The sequence below is a fragment of the Homo sapiens genome, chromosome 1 (genome assembly GCF_000001405.40).
Source record: "Homo sapiens chromosome 1, GRCh38.p14 Primary Assembly".
Classification (NCBI taxonomy): domain Eukaryota; kingdom Metazoa; phylum Chordata; class Mammalia; order Primates; family Hominidae; genus Homo; species Homo sapiens.
In genome coordinates this window covers 1,942,682-1,959,844 of record NC_000001.11, presented here as the reverse complement: position 1 = coordinate 1,959,844, position 17,163 = coordinate 1,942,682, and the positions used below count along the sequence as shown (strand labels likewise).

Below are 17,163 nucleotides of genomic sequence, written 5' to 3'. Positions count from 1 at the left end.
CACGCAGGCCCCTGTTTTGCTATTTTACTTCCAAAAATACACTCAACATATTCCTGAATGCTGGGCAGAACCGCGGCGCAGCTCCTCTGGGTTAGTGGCCGAGGGCGTGCACTCTCGGGTCTAAGTCGGGAGGGCTGGGATGTTCCAGGAAGCTAGTGTCCAGCCCTCCTGAGATGCCCTCTACTGACTCTTTCCCCTGGGGTCACCCGAGCTGGGCAGGTGGCAGGCGGCCCTGGCCCAGGTAGCCACGGCACATGTAACAGGCTAAAGTTACAGGAGGGAGGGGTGTGGTGGCTTATGCCTGTAATCCCAGCACTTTGGGAGGCCAAGGCAGGAGGGTCGCTTGAGCCCAGAAGTTCAAGACCAGCCTGGGCAACATGGCGAGACCCCGTCTCTACAAAAAATACAATTAGCCAGATATGGTGGCGCATGCCTGTAATCCCAGCTAGTGGAGAGGCTGAGGTGGGAGGATCGCTTGGACCCCAGGTGGGGGTGGGTGGAGGGGGGTTGCAGTGAATCGAGCAGGTGCCACTGCACCCCAGCCTGGCCAACAGAGCCAGACCCTGTCCAAAAAAAAAACAAAACACACAAAAGTTGCAGAAGTGTATTGTGGTGGGGGTTGTTTTATGTTTTAGATAAACAAGGATCTAGAAGGAAATATCTCATTTTTGGCTCAGACGGGCGAGTTTTCAGTTCCACTGAAATGTTCAACAAAGAAATGTTCGGTGAGTTCAAAGGTGTCCGAGCCAGCATTTCTCGGGGCATGCTGGCTGGGAACCCCAGTGGGGGACGGCATCTCCTGGGAGGGGGTGCAGGTTGGCGGGGGGACCAGGTGGAAGCTCCAATCTTCACCAGGGGCTGAGCCCCTTCTTCCAACAGCAGCTCAGGTGGGCCTGAGCCGAACCTTAGGTGGGGTCTCGAACGTGGGGCACTCGGACCAGTGCTGGAAAAATGAGACAAACCCTGCTCTGTGTGGAGCCCAGACTGCAGGGCCTGTGGCTCAGGAAAACTTAACATTCATCTGCAGCTCTTGGGGGGATCCCGCCTGATTCTTTTTAACTAAGAAAAATTTCAAGCATAGAGGAAAACAGAACAGCAGAACAAGGCTCCACGCGCTGCAACCCGGACCCCGCATCCTCCCAGACTCCACATTGTCGGCCTCGGACACCTTTGCTTGGTCCATCAACTGCTATATCTGTTGTTGCTGATCCATTTCAAAGTACATTAGTAAAATGTCAACACTCCACCCTCAGAAACTTCAGCATGCATCTCCAGTAAACCAGGAACCCACACATCATTGTCCCCCCGGCCCCCGCCGAGTAATTGGTCAGCTCGCACCGCACCTGCCACACAGCAAACGGCTCCTGGCTCAGCCGCGAGTGTGAAGCCCTCTGCGGCCAGCCCCGTCCAGGCTGGACTCCAGAGTGGCAGCTACGGCAGCACGAGCATCTCCCAGAGGACAGTGGGGACGTCATTATCTCCTAAGAATTCTCAGGTCAAGGCAAGTCTCACAGCCTGAGCCTGCGTCAGCGGGGCAGGAAGAGGCCCATTCTTACACTAGAGGAGGAACAAGCCGGGGCAGGCGAAGGGCAGAGGCGCGCTATGTCCCCCACCCCAGGAAGATCAGCAGACGCCCTCATGGTCACCCGTGATCCAGGCCACGCTGGCCCCAAGCCACCTTTGATGAGCACCTGTGTAACTTTCTCTGTCGCGTGCTTCCTCCTTCACCGCGTGTCGCCGTGGAGAGGGGTTGGGATGAGAGTCACCGATGGTGGCAGAGAGAGAAGTGTTTTCCTCTCAGTTTCTTCATAGGCTCACCAGTGTTTGAGTATTTGGTGTGTTCCAGTCACTTTAGTCTCCCTTCCTCTTGGCACTCAAGTGGCCCCGCTTGGGTTCATGCAGGGACCACTGCCGTCCTAGGGCACCCGAGCAGCTCCTTGCCCTGTGGCTGCCGCCTTCTCCTCAGAGCGGTCACGGTTGGGCCGGCACTCGGCTGTGCGGGCTCTTGGTGAGCCAAGACTCAGGCCCAGGACACCGAGCACCAGGGCCAGGGGCAGCAGGAAGTCCCCCGCCCCCCCGCAGACAGCCAGGCTCCGGCTCCCTCCTGCTCAGCCTGGGAGCCCGGCAGGAGTCTGGTACTGGCCTGCTCCACTCCGGATCAGCATCATGGAGCACGTGCCCGGCGAGGCCCCAGGTGTCCTGGCCAGAGCTGCCCCGGCCTCTCCCGCATTTGGTCTTTGCAGTGTCAAGTGCTCCTCTGTGACAGGAGCACCGAGACCCTCGGCTCCCCTGAGCAGGGGCTTGCTTCTCCCAGGGGAGCGTCCAGGCTGGGGACTGTAAAAACAGTAAAACCCCATCTGAACAAGGGGAGAACAGGACCCAGGCGGTGCAGGCGGGAAGGAGGCGGCCTCCCTTGGCTGGACCCCGACCGCCCTCTGCGAACCACGTCCATTTGCGTCGGTGGCCCCTGGTCCTGCCCCTGGAGCAGGAGCACAGAGTGGGGAGCCCCTGGGCCTCCAAACTCAGAGCCCAGAAAAGCCTCCCGAGGAGGGGCCATTGGGCAGAGCCGAGGTATGGCCCGGGCCTGCATCCTTAGCCAGCACCAGAGCTTCTGTGGCCTGTGGCCCACAGCGGGCATGGTGAGGCACCCCCATGGAGGGCGTGCTCCCGTTCTGGAAGGATGCTCCCTGGGTCCCTGTATCCAGAGTCCAGCTGACCTCACCCAGGAATGACACCATCCATCCTCAGGACCTCCAAAGCCCCGTGTCCAGGCTCCTTGTTTAGGCCCTGCATCCGGGCCCTGCGTCCTCTCACTGAACCCTTGTTACTCCGTGGCGAGGGGGCTCCTGCCTTGATGTTCTTAAAACCAGACTCGCGTGCCACACCTTGTCATGAGCAATACACACCTGATTTCTGGGTTGAATCGTGTACCTGCTTGTGCAGTGCACAACGCGCACAAATGCTCAGGGCAGCCCTGCCTGGAGCCACGTGCAGGCCTCACGCTGGGCACCCTGTGGGCCTGGCACGGTGGCCCTGAGTTCACTCCATGTCCTCTGGCAGCTGTCCCTCGACAAGGAGCTCATTGACTTCGGCAGCTACGTGGTAGGAGAGACCACGTCTCGGACCATCACGCTGACCAACGTTGGGGGCTTGGGCACGACTTTCAAGTTCCTGCCAGCTTCAGAGCCCTGTGAGATGGACGACTCCCAGTCTGCCCTGAAATTAGTGAGTGTGCCACTCAGCCATGGGGGAGTGTGGGGACCTGCCCCCCAAATCCAGTCCCATGTGGGTGAACAGAGGTGACAACATGAGGGTATCAACAGTGGGCCTGGGAGAAGGAGGGCAGTGTGGGGGCCTCCTCAAATCAGCCTAAGCAGAAGAGACCAGCTTCTTCTGTAGGACACCTGCAGTCACCTGGCCTCAGGGGCAGCAGCAGCAGGACACTCCCTTTCTCAGGCACGTAGCAGCAGGGGTGCTGGCCAGCAGCTCCAGGCCCGAGGGCCCCAGGAGACCCAGCCTCCCCCGACGCATCTCTGAAGCCCCAGGTGTGGGGGTGGGAGGACTGGACAGGTGCACTCCATGGCCACAGCTGCACCTGTTCCAAGTGTGAGCGCGTCTTGTCCTGTCACGGGTATGGGTGTCCCAAGGCTCAGGTGGAGAGAAGCCTCAGCCTCTAGCCAGCCAAGGAGGAAGGAGGGTTGGACCAAGAGGAAGATGTGGCTCACACTCCCAGGCTGGGGCAGCACAGCCATGCCCACCCGGCCTGGAGTGAGGGAGGCTGAGGGGTGACTCTGAGTCTCTGGGTGAGCTGCTGCTGTGATCCCACAACCAGGATGGGTGAGACGAGAGCAGGCAGCCGAGGAGGCAGCTGAGGGGCCACGCTGGAGCCAGGGTCCAGCCCCCAACACGGCCTGTCCTCATGGGAGTTCCGGCAGCTGACTGGGAAAAGGAGGTGGGAAACCTCCCAAGCCAGGATGTTGATTCTCCTCTCTAGAGCAGTCTCCTGACCTACGAAGATAAAAGCTTGTATGACAAAGCCGCCACCAGCTTCTCTGAGCAGCAGCTAGAGGGCACGGAGTCCTCCCAGGCGGACATGCAGAGCCGGAAGGAGCTGGAGAAGCTGGACAAGGAGCAGGAGGAGGAGCAGCCCGCAGGTGAGCCAGGCTGCCAGGCCAAGCCAGGGTGGGCGGGCGGTGAGGGCCTCAGGGCAGCATTCCAGGGGGCTGAGGGGCCCAGGGGAGGGCTGGAAAGTAGAGAATTTTCCTAGGCCTTCGATGTTAAGTGACGGTTAAGCAAGAAAATATTCTTATGTGCCACTAAGTGTTGTTTTTGGAGTGGACGAAAATGTACATTCACGTTGACGCTAACCGAAGACTTGAAGGCACCTCCAGCATTGGCCCAGCAGGCCCAGCACGGGCGGAGCCGCACAGGGCGGGGAAGAGGCTCTGCGGTGCCCCCTGGAGGGGCCGGGCTGCGGGGGGCTTCTGTCTAGCTCTGCAGCTGTGGCTGTTGTTAGACGCGCACCAGCGGGGAGAGGTGCCGAGAAACGGGCGGGCCCTGCCCTCCCCATGCCTCCTGCCCTGCAGCCCGCCGCCATCGGGAATCGCTTGCGTCTCCTCCTTGCTTCTCTTGATCGTTTTCCCACATACGCATCGAGATCCAGAAACCTCCGTCCTCCTCCTGTCTGTCTTCGCGTGGTGCGCGTTCCGCACGCCCTGCAGCTCAGCGCGGAGCTGGGCCGGTTCTCCACAGCCTGTGTGAGCCGCACTTCCGGTGTGAGCCGCACTTCCGGTGTGAGCCGCACTTCCGGTGTGAGCCGCACTTCCTGTCCTCACCACTGCGTGGCGTTTCCTTTCCTGAGAGAGCCTCGGGTTCTAGATCCGTCCTTCTGCCAGTGCACACTTGGGAGCGTTCGTGGTACACACTGTTGCGAAGGCCGTTCTGCACTGCCCCTTGGCCTGTGTGTGAGTTCCCACAGGGCACCTGGCTGGGGCTCATGCCTGCATCACAGGGCATAGCCAGCCTCACTGGCATCAGCTAATACCAAAGTGAGTTCTTTTTATGTTGAGACAGGGTCTCTGTCGCCTAGGCTGGAGTGCAGTGGTGCAGTCACAGCTCACTGCAGCCTCGACCTCCCGGGCTCAAGCAATCCTCCTGCCTCAGCTCCTGAGTAGCTGGAACTACAGGCACGCACCACCGCACCTGGCTAGTTTTTGTATTTTTTTGTAGACACAGGGTTTCGCCATGTTTCCCAGGCTGGTGTGGAACTCCTGAACTCAGGCTGTCTGCCCACCTCAGCCTCCCAAGGTGCTGGATTACAGGCATGAGCCACCTCGCCTAGCCCACCGAGTTCTTTTTCAAAGTGGTTGTGCAAGTTTACACTCCCACCAACAGTGTACAAGACTGTGCTGTCCAGCGTGGCTGTCACTGCCACATCTGGCTATTTAAACTTAAATTGATCCAAATTAAATAATAGTGAAAATTCAGGTCCTCCTCCACAAGGGCCACATTTCACATGCTCCATAGCGACCTGTGGGCAACGGCTGCCCTACTGGACAGCCCAGAAGCCCAGCTCTGCCTGGTCACAGAGGGTCCTACGGGGCCACACTGGGCTTGAGGGCCTTGCTTCACATCCGCAGGAGCACGAGGTCACACGGCCCGGGGCTGCTTGTCTGGGGGGCCTGCACCACGGTCTGCTGTTGAGATGTTGCTTTTTGGTTTCCCAGATCACCAGTGAGATTGCGTGTCTTTCCCTGGGCCCATTTACAAGTTGTATCTTCTTTGGTGTGACATCTCTGTTTAAGGCTATCCCTTGTTCTTCTGTGGGATTGTCTGTCTTCTTCTCATTCATTCATAGGAGCTCTTCATGCACCCAGATTCCAGCCCTCCTCCCTGAGGAATGTTGCAGGTGCTGCCTCCGAGTCTGTGGCTGGGCCTTCCTCTCCCTTTATGACGTCTTTTCTCAAATCAAAGTTCTTCAGTCCAGTCTTTGCATATTTACCAGTCATTTCTATTGGAATTTGTTTTTTATGATTTTTAGGCAATTTTTTTCTCCTCCAGGGTCATAAAGACATAGGACATCGCTTTTGTGTTGAGGTGTATGATCCACCTCAAATTCACTCCTGCTTGTGGTGGAAGTCAGGGCTGAGGCTCATTTCCCCTGGTGCGTGTTTGTGTATTCCACGGCACAAGTGGACTCTGCTATCCCATTCGATCCATTCGTTGTCCGTGTCAAAAATCAATTGACCATCCAGGCACAGTGGCTCATGCCTGTAATCCCAGAACTTTGGGAGGCCGAGGCAGGAGGATCACTTGAGGTCAAGAGTTTGAGACCAGCCTGGCCAACATGGTGAAACCCCATTTCTACTAAAAATACAAAAAATTAGCCAGGCGTGGTGGCGGGCGCCTGTAATCCCAGCTACTTGGGTGGCTGAGGCAAGAGAATTGCTTGAACCCGGGAGGCGGAGGTTGCAGTGAGCTGAGATCGCGCCATTGCACTCCAGCCTGGCCTATAAGAGTAAAATACTGTCTCAAAAAAAAAAAAAAAAGCAAGTCAATTGACCATATAAGCATGAGCTTATATAGTTCTCGCCTCTTTTTTCTGATTAATTGATCCATTTAATTATTCTTATGCCAGAGCCATTGTCTTGGTTATCATGGACTCAGACAAAGCCTTGAAGCCAGGTAGTGTAAGTCACCCAACTTTGTTCTTTTTTTTCCACAATATTTGCATTAGGGCCTCAGGATAGTTTAGGTCCTTTACATTTCCACATAAACTGTAGAATCAGCTTTTTTATTTCTACCAAAAAAGCATAGCATGAATCTGATTGGCATAGCATTGAATCTATAGATCAATTTGGGGAGAACTGACATCTTAACAGTATTGAGGCTGGGTGCAGCAGCTCACACCTGTAATACCAGCACTTCGGGAGGCCAAGGCAGGAAGATCGCTTGAGCTCAGGAGTTTGAGACCAGCCTGGGAAACATAGGGAGACTCCATCTCTACTAAAAGTTTTTTTTTAATTAGCCAGGTGTGGTGATGTGCCTCTGTAGTCCCAGCTACTTGGGGGACAAAGGCAGGAAGATGGCTTGAGCCCAGGAGGTCAAGGCTGCAGTGAGCTGTGATTGCACCACTGCATTCAGCCTGGGCGACAGAGACCCTGTCTCTTAAAAAAAAAAAATTGAGTCTTGTAATTCATAACCATTATCTCCTCATTTAACTAGGTCTGTCTTTCTTTCTTTCTTTCTTTCTTTTTCTTTGCTTCTTTCTCTCTTTCCCTCCCTTCCTTCCTTCCTTTTTTCTTTCTTTCTTGCTCATCAATGTGTTATACAGTTTTGGTCTGTTTATCCAGTCTGACAGTCTTTGACTTTCTTAGAACATTTAATCTATTTAAATGTGTTGTGATGATTGATATATTTGGATTCGTTTCTACCATCTTATTTTGTGCTTTACATTGGTCTTGCTTTTTTGTTTCTTTTCTTTTTTTTTTTTAATTTTATACTCTAGCCTTTTATCCTCTTCCTTTATTTTCTTCTCTACTCATTACAATGACCCCTGGCCTTTAAATTGGCCTCAGAACTGGAAACACCTTGGTCGGGCCCAGTGGCTCACGCCTGTAATCCCAGCACTTTGGGAGGCCGAGGCGGGTGGATCACCTGAGGTCAGGAGTTTGAGACCACCCAGGGCAACAAGGTGAAACCCCATCTCTACTGAAAATACAAAAAATGAGCCAGGAATGGTGGCAGGCGCCTGTAGTCTCAGCTACTCCGGAGGCTGAGACAGGAGAATCTCTTGAAGCGGGGAGGTGGAGGTTGCAGTGAGCTATGCTTCTCGTGGAATTCCCTGCGTGCTGAGCCAAAGCTGTGCTCTTCTGAGGGAGGCTGCCTGTGCGTTGGCCGCTCACCGATGCTCTTTCAGCCTGAATGGTATTCTCTGCAGTCTGCATGAGGCGGTTTGCATCACACAGGCTGGCCTCAAACTCCTGACCTCAAGTGATCCACTCATCTCAGCCTCCCAAAGTGCTAAGATTACAGGCGTGAGCCACTGCACCTGGCCATCAAGCAGATTTTCTATACTGTAGGAACTAACCATTGGAACACTTCACTAAAATGTGAATATCCCAGAACTAACTATGGATCAATGCAATTCCAACCAAAATTCCAGGAAGATTTTTTAATGGAAATTGACAAGGTGATTATAACGTTTATATGGAAAACCAGAGGACCTAGAGTGACCAAAACAATTTTGAAAAAACAAATTTCAAGGACTTACACTACCTGATTTCAAGATTACTATGAAGTACAGTAACAAGACAGTGTGGTGGTGAACAGAGATAGAGACCCAACGGAACAAGAGAATCCAAAAATAGACACACAATTATAGTCAACTGGTTTTGAACAGAGGTGCAAAAGTAATTGCTTGGAGAAAGAACAGTCTTTTCAACAAGTGAGGCCATAACAATTGGATAAACATAAGCCCCCTGATATAGTCTGGCTCTGTGTCCCCACCCAGGTTTTGTCTCAAATTGTAATCCCCACGTGTGGAGAGAGGAAAGTGATTGAATTATGGGAGAGGTTTTCCCCATGCTGTTCTCATAATAGTGAGTGAATTCTCATGAGATCTGATGATGTTATAAACATGCTCTCACCTCTCTCTCTCCTGCCGCTGTGTGAGACGTGCCTGCTTCCCCTTCCAACCATGACTGTAAGTTTCCTGAGGCCTTGTCAGCCAGGTGGAACTGTGAGTCAATTAAACCTCTTTCCTTTATAAATTACCCAGTCTCGGGCAGTTCTTTATAGCAGGGTGAAACAGACTAATACACCCCCCTCCAGTTTAACTTTAATTCGTTCCTCACACTGTAAACAAAAGTTACTCAAAATAGATGATGTACCTAAAAGTTAAGCCTAAAAATATAAAATTCCCCCCCGAAAAAAACACAGGAGAGAATGTGTGGCCCTAGGTGAGGCAAAGGTTTTTCTTAGACATAACATTGAAATTATGGCCCCTGGTTTAAAAATTGTAAACTGGACTTCGCCAAAACCAAGAACATCTGCTTTTTGAAAGACGCTGTTAAGAGACTGCAGAGATAAGCCACAGACTGGCGGAAAGCATTAGCAAATCACAAATCCGATAAAAAATTTGTGTCCAAAATATGTAATTTTCAAATCTCAATTGGAAAATAACCCAGTCAAAAAATGGGCAAAAGCCTAGGCGCGGTGGCTCACACCTGTAATCCCAGCACTTTGGGCGGCCGAGGTGAGCAGATCACCTGAGGTCAGGAGTTTGAGACCAGCCTGGCCAACATGGCAAAACCCCGTCTCTACTAAAAATACAAAACTTAGCTGGGCATGGCGGCAGACACCTGTAATCCCAGCTACTCGGGAGGCTGAGGCAGGAGAATCACTTGAACCTGGGAGGCGGAGTTTGCAGTGAGCTGAGACTGCACCATTGCACTCCAGCCTGGGCAATGAGAGTGAATGAAACTCCATCTCAAAAAAAAAAAAAAAATGGGCAAAAGACTGAACAGATGCTTCACCAGAGAAGATACGTACGTGGATGAGAAATTCGCACATGAAAAGACGCTCAACATCATTAAACATGAGATGAAGAAAATGTAAATTAAAACCACAATGGGACACCACTACACACCTATAAGAACAGCTAAATTATAAACAAAGAACAACAAGTTTAACAATAGCAAGTGCCGGTGAGGAGCAGCTGGAATTCTAATGCTGCCCCTGGGGATGCAGAATGGCATGGCCACCAGCGAAACGCTCAGCAGCAAAGCCAGACACCCACCAAGGCCACTCCTAGGTATCCACCAAGAGAAGCGAAAACTTAAATTCCCGCAAAAACCTGTATGTGAATGTTTGTAGAGAGCTTATTTGCAATTGGCAAAAACCAACAACTCTAATGTCCCACGCGTGGGGAGTGGATAGAGAAACCGTGGGGTCCCTGCCACACAGCACTGCCGAGCAGCAAACAGACATGAACCTTTGATAGAGGCAGTGCCGTGGACCAGTCTCAAATGCATCATGCTAAGGGAAAGAACTCAGACGCAAAAGACTGTAAGCTCTGTGACTCCATTTTTGTGACATTCTAGAAAAAGAATATTTTGGCTAAAAAAAGGCAAAACTGTAGAGACAAAATAGATCACTGGTTGCTGGGGCAGGGGAAAGGGTTGACTAGAAAGGGGCATGGGCGACGTGGGCACGGTGGGGCCATTCAGTGTCTTGATTGCTGTGATGAGTGTACAACCACATGAATCTGTCAAAACTTAAGAAAGTTCCACTAAGAAGAGTCCATTTTACTATATGCAACTTATTCCTTAAAAAAATAAAAAATAAAAAAAAAATCACTCACACAGAAACAACAGAAAGTACTGCGGTTGGCCGGGCACAGTGGCTTACACTTGTAATCCCAGCACTTTGGGAGGCCAAGCGGATCACTTGAGGTCAGGAGTTCAAGACCAGCCTGGGCAACATGGCAAAACCCCATCTCTACTAAAAATACAAAAAATTTGCCAGACATCGTGGCACGCACCTGTAATCTCAGCTACTTGAGAGGCTGAGGCACTTGAATCACTTGAACCCGGGAGGCAGAGGTTGTGGTGAGCCGAGATCATGCCATTGCACTCCAGCCTGGGTGAAGGAGCAAGACTCTGTCGAAAGAAGGAAAGGAGGGAGGGAGGGGAAGGAAGGGAGGGAGGGAGGGAGGGAAGGGAAGAAAGGAAAGGAAGGAAGGAAAGGAGGGAGGGAGGAAGGAGGGAAAGGAAAGGAAGGAAGGAAGGAAAGGAGGGAAGGAAGGAGGGAGGGAGAGAAGGAAGGAAGGGGAAGGGGAAGGAAGGGAATGAAGGAAAGGAGGGAGGGAAGGAGGAAGGAAGGGAGTAAGGGAGGGAAAGGAAGGGAGGAAAGAGGAAGGAAGGAAAGGGAAGGAAGGAAGGGAAGGAGGGAGGGAAGGAAGGAAGGAATTGCAGCAATCTTGCATGGTTCAGACATGGGTATTATCAGGCATCAAATATCAAATAAGGATGCTTAATACATTGAAAAGTACTACATGGTGAGACCCCATATCTACAAAGAAGAAAATTTAGCCAGGCGTGGTGACATGCATCTGTAGTCCCAGCTACTCAGGATGCTGAGCCGGGAGGATCGCTTGAGCCTGGGAAGTTGAGGCTGCAGTGAGCTGTGATCACACCACTGCACTGCAGCCTGGGTGACAGAGTGAGACCCTGCCAAAAAAAAAAAAAACAAGAAGAAAGGAAAGAAAAGACTAGAATAAGGAGGCCAGGCCATGGTAGCTCATGCCTATAATCCCAATACTTTAGAGGGCCAACGCAGGAGGATCGCTTAAGCAGATGTTTGCGATCAGCCTGGGCAATATAACAAGACCATGTCTCTACCAATATACACATAAATATATATATATATATTTATATATGCCAAGCATGGCTGCATGCATCTGTGGTCACTTGAAACCAGGAGGCCGAGGCTGCAGGGTGCAGTGATCGCACCACTGCACTCCAGCCTGGGCAACAGAGTGAGACCTCGTCTCTAAAAACCAAAAAGCTGCTGGCCCCAGAATCTGACCACCTGCGCTCAGGTCCAGGTTCTTGTTGCCGTGGTGACTCCTGAGGCAGCCGCACCCCTTCCACTTTCAGAACCGGGGACCCTTGGCCGGGCACAGTGGCTCACGCCTGTAATCCCAGCACTTTGGGAGGCCAAGGTGGGCAGATCACAAGGTCAGGAGTTCGAGACCAGTCTGGCCGATATGGTGAAACCCCGTCTCTACTAAAAATACAAAAATTAGCCAGGCATGATGGCAGGTGCGTGTAATCCCAGCTACTCGGAAGGCTGAGGCAGGAGAATTACTTGAACCCGGGAGGCAGAAGTTGCAGTGAGTCAAGATCACACCATTGTACTCCAGCCTGGATGACAGACCGAGACTCCGTCTAAAAGAAAAAAAAAAGAACAGGGGTCCCTGCGGCCTTTACAACTCCAGACCCCAGAAATGATGTGCATGGTGCTTCAAAGTCGCCACCTGGCTCCTGAAGAGCTCTGCCGTCCAGACGCTGAGCCCGGGGCAGGCTCTGGCAAGCCCGTGGGGGCTCTCCACAGTGACCTGGCCTGGCTGGTGGCCCAGCTGCTCTGACCCGACCGGGCAGCACGACAGAGGCCAAAGGAGAATGCCAACCTGCGCGTGGCCTCTCGAATTGCCTCTGTTCAGGTGCAAAGTCAACAAAAAGTCCTGCTCAGACTTGCAAGGAAACAGCTCTGCTACCCGGGGCCTTGCTGCTGACCAGCTGCCGGCTGGTGCCCCCAGAACCCAGTGGCAGATGGAAACCAGGAGCCTGCCACAGGGAAGTGATGACTCAAACACGCCAGTAGCAGGTACCCGTAGGGAACAGTACGCTACAGCTATGGGAAGTTAGGTTACCAGATATGATGGTAAGAGAAGAAACATCCCCAAAAGATGACACTGTTTTAGAATTTTCTGGACTTAGCTGTCCTTCCCACTCCAGCCTCTAATACCCTCGCCCTGGGCCAACAGGTCGTGAGAAAATGGGGGTCTTTGGGAAAGGGCTTCCAAAGCCCTCCGGGCACGGTGGGGACTGGCTGCACCCTCTCTGGGCCTGGGTGCCCCAAGGGGCCACACGGATGGCTCCACTATGTTCAGAAAGAACAGAGCCCAGGATATGGGTTTGGAGGTGGTGACCACGTCCCAAGGGGGCCTGGGCCACACTGCCTCCACCCTGCCAACCCTCACCTCTGGATCCCCCTTCTCTTCCAGAACCAGAGAGATTAACCACAGTGATACCTCCCAGCGAAGAGCAGACGGAGATCACGCTGGGGGAGGTCAGCCAGCTCAGGCCCTAAAATAGCTGCCACGATCCAAGACACCGCCCACCTTCCCCCAGCCCCAGCTGCACCCCAACCCACTGGCCCTCACTGCTAGGTGGCCCTTGCGTTTGACCAGAGACAGGCCAGACTTTGTCCACCAGGGACTTGCAGCCTCCAGGCCTCTTGTAATCTCAGCTGGCATGGGGCCACCGCCTCCGGCTGTGCAGGACGCAAGCCACAGATTGTTTCCCGGGTGTGGGGCACTGGGTGAAACTTGGGGTGGATGCTGGCCGCGGCCTCCCTGGCTGGGACACGGCCATGAGCTCATGAGCAGGGGGAGGATGTGGAGGAGTTCAGGCTGCCTCCAACTCCGCTGGCTGGGATCCCACGACAGTAAGTCCTCCAAGGGCTGGGCCAGGCCCAGGACATCTGTGGCCAAGTGGCCACCCAGGGACACGGGTCCTGCCACCTTCCATCCTTGCAGCAACATGCCATTGTGAGGGTTGGGAAGGGATCTTAAAAGCCATGAAGCCTGGCAGACCCCATGGCATCTCTTCCTGTGCAGGTAACAGAAGGGGAAATTGGCCCCTTCAGCTCCATCAAGGTGCCCATCGTCTTCACTCCGGTCGTCCCAGGCGACGTCCAAGCCAGGTTCAAAGTCACGTTTAAGAACCCCCAGTGCCCCACGGTGAGTATTCCTGCTGCCACGCCACGCACACACCCTGGCCCCTGCCTCCACAGCCTCATGTGGCAGCTGCCCTTGGCCACAAGGTCGCCATTTGCCCACGCAGGGATGGCCAGTTGGTGGCACGGATGGTTGGCACCACAGTTTACAACACACGCACGCACACGAGTGTGCACACACGCACACTGGCATACACAGGCAGGCATGCTGTGAGCACATACACGCATGCCCATGCAAAAACATGCATGTATACACATGCACACATGCACACACGCAGAGCCCACACACACGTACACACGCACACACGCAGTCCCGCACACATGCACACATGCAGAGCCCCCCCCACACGCACAAACGCACATACACAGAGCCCCCACACACACGTGCACACATGCAGAGTCCTCACACACATGCACACACATGCACACACGCAGAGCCCACACACACACGTGCACACACGCAGAGCCTTTGTTCTTTTTTTTTTTTTTTTTTGAGTTAGGGTCTCGTTCTGTCACCCAGGATGGAATGCAGTGGCAGGACCACAGCTCACTTCAGCCTCTAACCCCTGGGCTCAAGTGATCCTCCTGCCTCAACCTCTCGAGTAGCTGGGATTACAGGTGCGTGCCACCACACCTGGCTAACTTTTGTATTTTTCGTAGAGATGGGGTTTCACTGTGTTGGCCAGGCTGGTCTCGAACTCCTGACCTCAAGTGATCCGCCCGCCTCGGCCTCCCAAAGTGCTGGGATTACAGGAGTGAGCCACCGTGCCCAGCCCCAAGTGACAACTTTCTATGTTTAAACATTTCTCTGCACCCCCTATGCACCCGCATGGGCTGGGGCGGTTGCCTGTCCCAGGTTGAGGCTCCTGGCATCCTCGACAGTGTTCAGAGTCCTCGGCTCACCTCACAGCACCAGGACAGTACCACTGCCTAGGCGGCTTCGTGCTGGGCTGCTGCACTTCCCCAGCCCGGGGCTTGCTGGCCCTCCCAAAACCTCACTCATACTCTCTAACCTCCTGAGGCCCCAGGAGTCAGTGCTTGGGGAGAAGCAGATCTCACTGTCTTGGCTCACTGCAACCTCTGCCTCCCGGGTTCAAGCGATTCTCCCACCTCAGCCTCCCACGTAGCTGGGACCACAGGCACACACCACCATGCCTGGCTAAGTTTTGTATTTTTTGTAGAGACGGGGGTCTCACCACACTGCCCAGGCTGGTCTCAAACTCCTGGGCTCAAGCATCCTCCCACCTGGGCCTCCAAAGTGCTGGAATTACAAGTGTGAACCACTGTGCTCGGCCATAGAAAGGTTTTTTTAAACACCTAAATGTTAATGAGTATGAAGCTGACTGGTAGGTACTTGGTGATCCAGTATTCTGTTCTAGTAGTAGTTGAACATTTCGAAAATAAAAAGAATATTTGGCCGGGCGCAGTGGCTCACGCCTGTAATCCCTGCACTTTGGGAGGCCGAGGTGGGTGGATCCCTGAGGTCAGGAGTTCAAGACCATCCTGGCCAACGTGGCAAAACCCCATCTCTACTAAAAATACAAAAATTAGCCTGGCATGGTGGCGGGCGCCTGTAATCCCAGCTACTTGGGAGGCCAAGGCAGGAGAATTGCTTGAACGCGGGAGGCAGACATTGCAGTGAGCCGAGATCGCACCATTGCACTCCAGCCTGGGCGACAGAGCGAGACTCCGTCTCAAAAAAAAAGAATATTTTGAATGATATGATATGAAAAGTGCCACAGCCGTCCCAAAGAGTTAGAAAACTCAAGCCCATGAAACGTTCCTCCTGGGAGCTGTGTCAGTGCTCACCAACAATGCCTGCTGTGCCCAAGGAACTCCTGTTGCTGAGCTCCTGTGTCCATATGCAGCTGCATTTCAGGGTCGTGGGCGTGGCCATCGATGTGCCGGTCTGGGTGCCGAAGCCCAGCGTGGACCTGAAGATCTGCATGTATGACCGGCTCTACCAGGACTCTGTGCTCGTGCACACGCGGTGAGCCCCCTCCTGTCCATGCACACGGGGTGACCCACGCACACGGGGTGAGCCGCTGCCTGCCTGTGCACACGCGGTGAGCCCCCTCCTGTCCACGCACACGGGGTGACCCACGCACACGGGGTGAGCCGCTGCCTGCCTGTGCACACGCGGTGAGCCCCCCAGTGGCCAGCGGGGACATGGCACCTGGGGCTGCCACGGCTGCTGTCCAGGCCCTGAACGGCATCCTGTGTGGCAAGCAGGGGGCTTAGCAGACATGGTTGGGGAGAGGGACCTTGGTGGGGGGTGATCCAGGATCATCTGGGAGGCGCCAGTGTCATCACGGGAGGCGTCACAGGGAGGCAGGAGGGTCAGAGTCAGGCCGATTTGAAGACACTGCACTGTCGGCTTCCAAGATGGAGGAAGGGCCCCGAGCCCGGGGACACTGCAGCTTCTAGAGGCTGTGAAAGGAGAGGAGAAACCTGTCCCGTAGAGCCACAAGGGCACGGCCCTGCCCGCACCTTGGCCTTAGCTCCGTCTTGGCTTCTGACCTCCAGGACGTGGAGAGAATGAATGTGCCTCTGTGTTGTGGGGCCCCTAAGCTTGGGGCAAATCCTTTCAGCAGCCACAGGAAACGCACTGCCCGCCTGGGCCCGGCCAGAGTCCTCAGCCCCTCGTGGACACAGGCAGGGTGAGCCTGGAGGAGGAAGCCTCCACTTGCAGGGTTTGGCAAGGGCTCCAGACATCAGAGCAAGCAGCCTGCCCTGAACAGCCACGCCGGTGGGAAAGCGCAGAGGGACGGCGAGGCTGGGCCTGCGGGGTTTCCATGACGGAGCCCCTGTGCCACCAGCACCAAGGAGCAGGGTGTGCGGACACAGAGGCCCCGGGCACCGGCCCCAGGCACAGCCACCTCTCCCCGGTGACCTGGGTAGGAACAGCTCCCGCGGCGCCTGTCCTCCTGCTGTCGGACTCCTGTGGGCCCGGCATGGGCCGGGAATGTGCAGCCTGCGGTGACCCGGGAGCCAGCTGCGTGTGTTGGCGTGTCTGCGGTGGAGTCTGCTCGCCTCCGGCATCGTCCTACTACAGCCTCTCAGTGGCCTTGGAAACTTGACAGAAAGGGCCCAGGCGTGTCTGTCGGGCATTGAGGGCTGAGTGGGGCCCAGCTCTGTGGATGGTCTCCGGCTGTGGTTGTGTGTACCTCAGTGTAGCTGTGTGCTCATTTGTATAGACTCTGGCCCCATAAGGGAACCGGAAGGCAGAGCAGCGTCTGCCTGACGGGGAGGGCGCGGTCTCTGAGCACCCGGGCGCCCGCCTCCCATGGGGCCCAGCAGTAGGGGTGCAGAGGCTGGCGTGCCCAGACGCACTGTGGGTGGCCTCTGGGTAGTGGTCAGAGGTCAGAGGCAGGTCTGTGATGGACGGAGATGAGGCTGCCACAGCATGGGTGACTGTCGCATGGAAGCACAGGAGGGAGGAGATTTCTCACTGCCACACCCTCTGGGTCCCCCCTCGTGGATTGCCCGGGGCAGCTGTGGCGGGGCGGCCACAACACTGTTTAGCAGAGGCTCCAAGACGGGGGAGGGGAGGGAGGCTTCACTGTGGGAACAGGGAGGCTCCAGGTGGTCCTGAGGAGGCCGTTGGCTTAAGGGAGCCGGAGGTAGGGACCGGACAGA

General features: G+C 54.6%; 1 protein-coding gene and 1 long non-coding RNA gene across 2 annotated transcripts in view, besides 2 other annotated features; one reads left to right on the top strand and one right to left on the bottom strand.

The window, feature by feature from the left end:
- The window catches only part of CFAP74 (cilia and flagella associated protein 74), an 81,830-nt gene that overhangs the window by 43,942 nt on the left and 20,725 nt on the right, over positions 1-17,163 (top strand). The window contains exons 16-21 of the mRNA NM_001304360.2: positions 636-725; positions 3,061-3,225; positions 3,995-4,154; positions 12,791-12,855; positions 13,406-13,528; positions 15,393-15,514. Coding sequence (NP_001291289.1) covers positions 636-725; positions 3,061-3,225; positions 3,995-4,154; positions 12,791-12,855; positions 13,406-13,528; positions 15,393-15,514 — 725 coding nt within the window. The remainder of the gene's footprint in view (positions 1-635; positions 726-3,060; positions 3,226-3,994; positions 4,155-12,790; positions 12,856-13,405; positions 13,529-15,392; positions 15,515-17,163) is intronic.
- Positions 815-2,477, bottom strand: LOC107984872 (uncharacterized). Its single transcript, XR_007065354.1, has 3 exons — positions 1,692-2,477; positions 1,344-1,481; positions 815-943 (listed from the first exon to the last, which is right to left on the bottom strand). It is a non-coding gene; the product is annotated as an uncharacterized LOC107984872 (long non-coding RNA).
- Positions 915-1,554: an enhancer, noted in NCBI's record as "H3K4me1 hESC enhancer chr1:1889730-1890369 (GRCh37/hg19 assembly coordinates)". NCBI's record gives its function as "activates a minimal SCP1, AML or CMV promoter by ChIP-STARR-seq in primed H9 embryonic stem cells {active_cell/tissue: H9 hESC(primed)}" and the evidence as "EXISTENCE:reporter gene assay evidence [ECO:0000049][PMID:30033119]".
- Positions 1,555-2,195: an enhancer, noted in NCBI's record as "H3K4me1 hESC enhancer chr1:1889089-1889729 (GRCh37/hg19 assembly coordinates)". NCBI's record gives its function as "activates a minimal SCP1, AML or CMV promoter by ChIP-STARR-seq in primed H9 embryonic stem cells {active_cell/tissue: H9 hESC(primed)}" and the evidence as "EXISTENCE:reporter gene assay evidence [ECO:0000049][PMID:30033119]".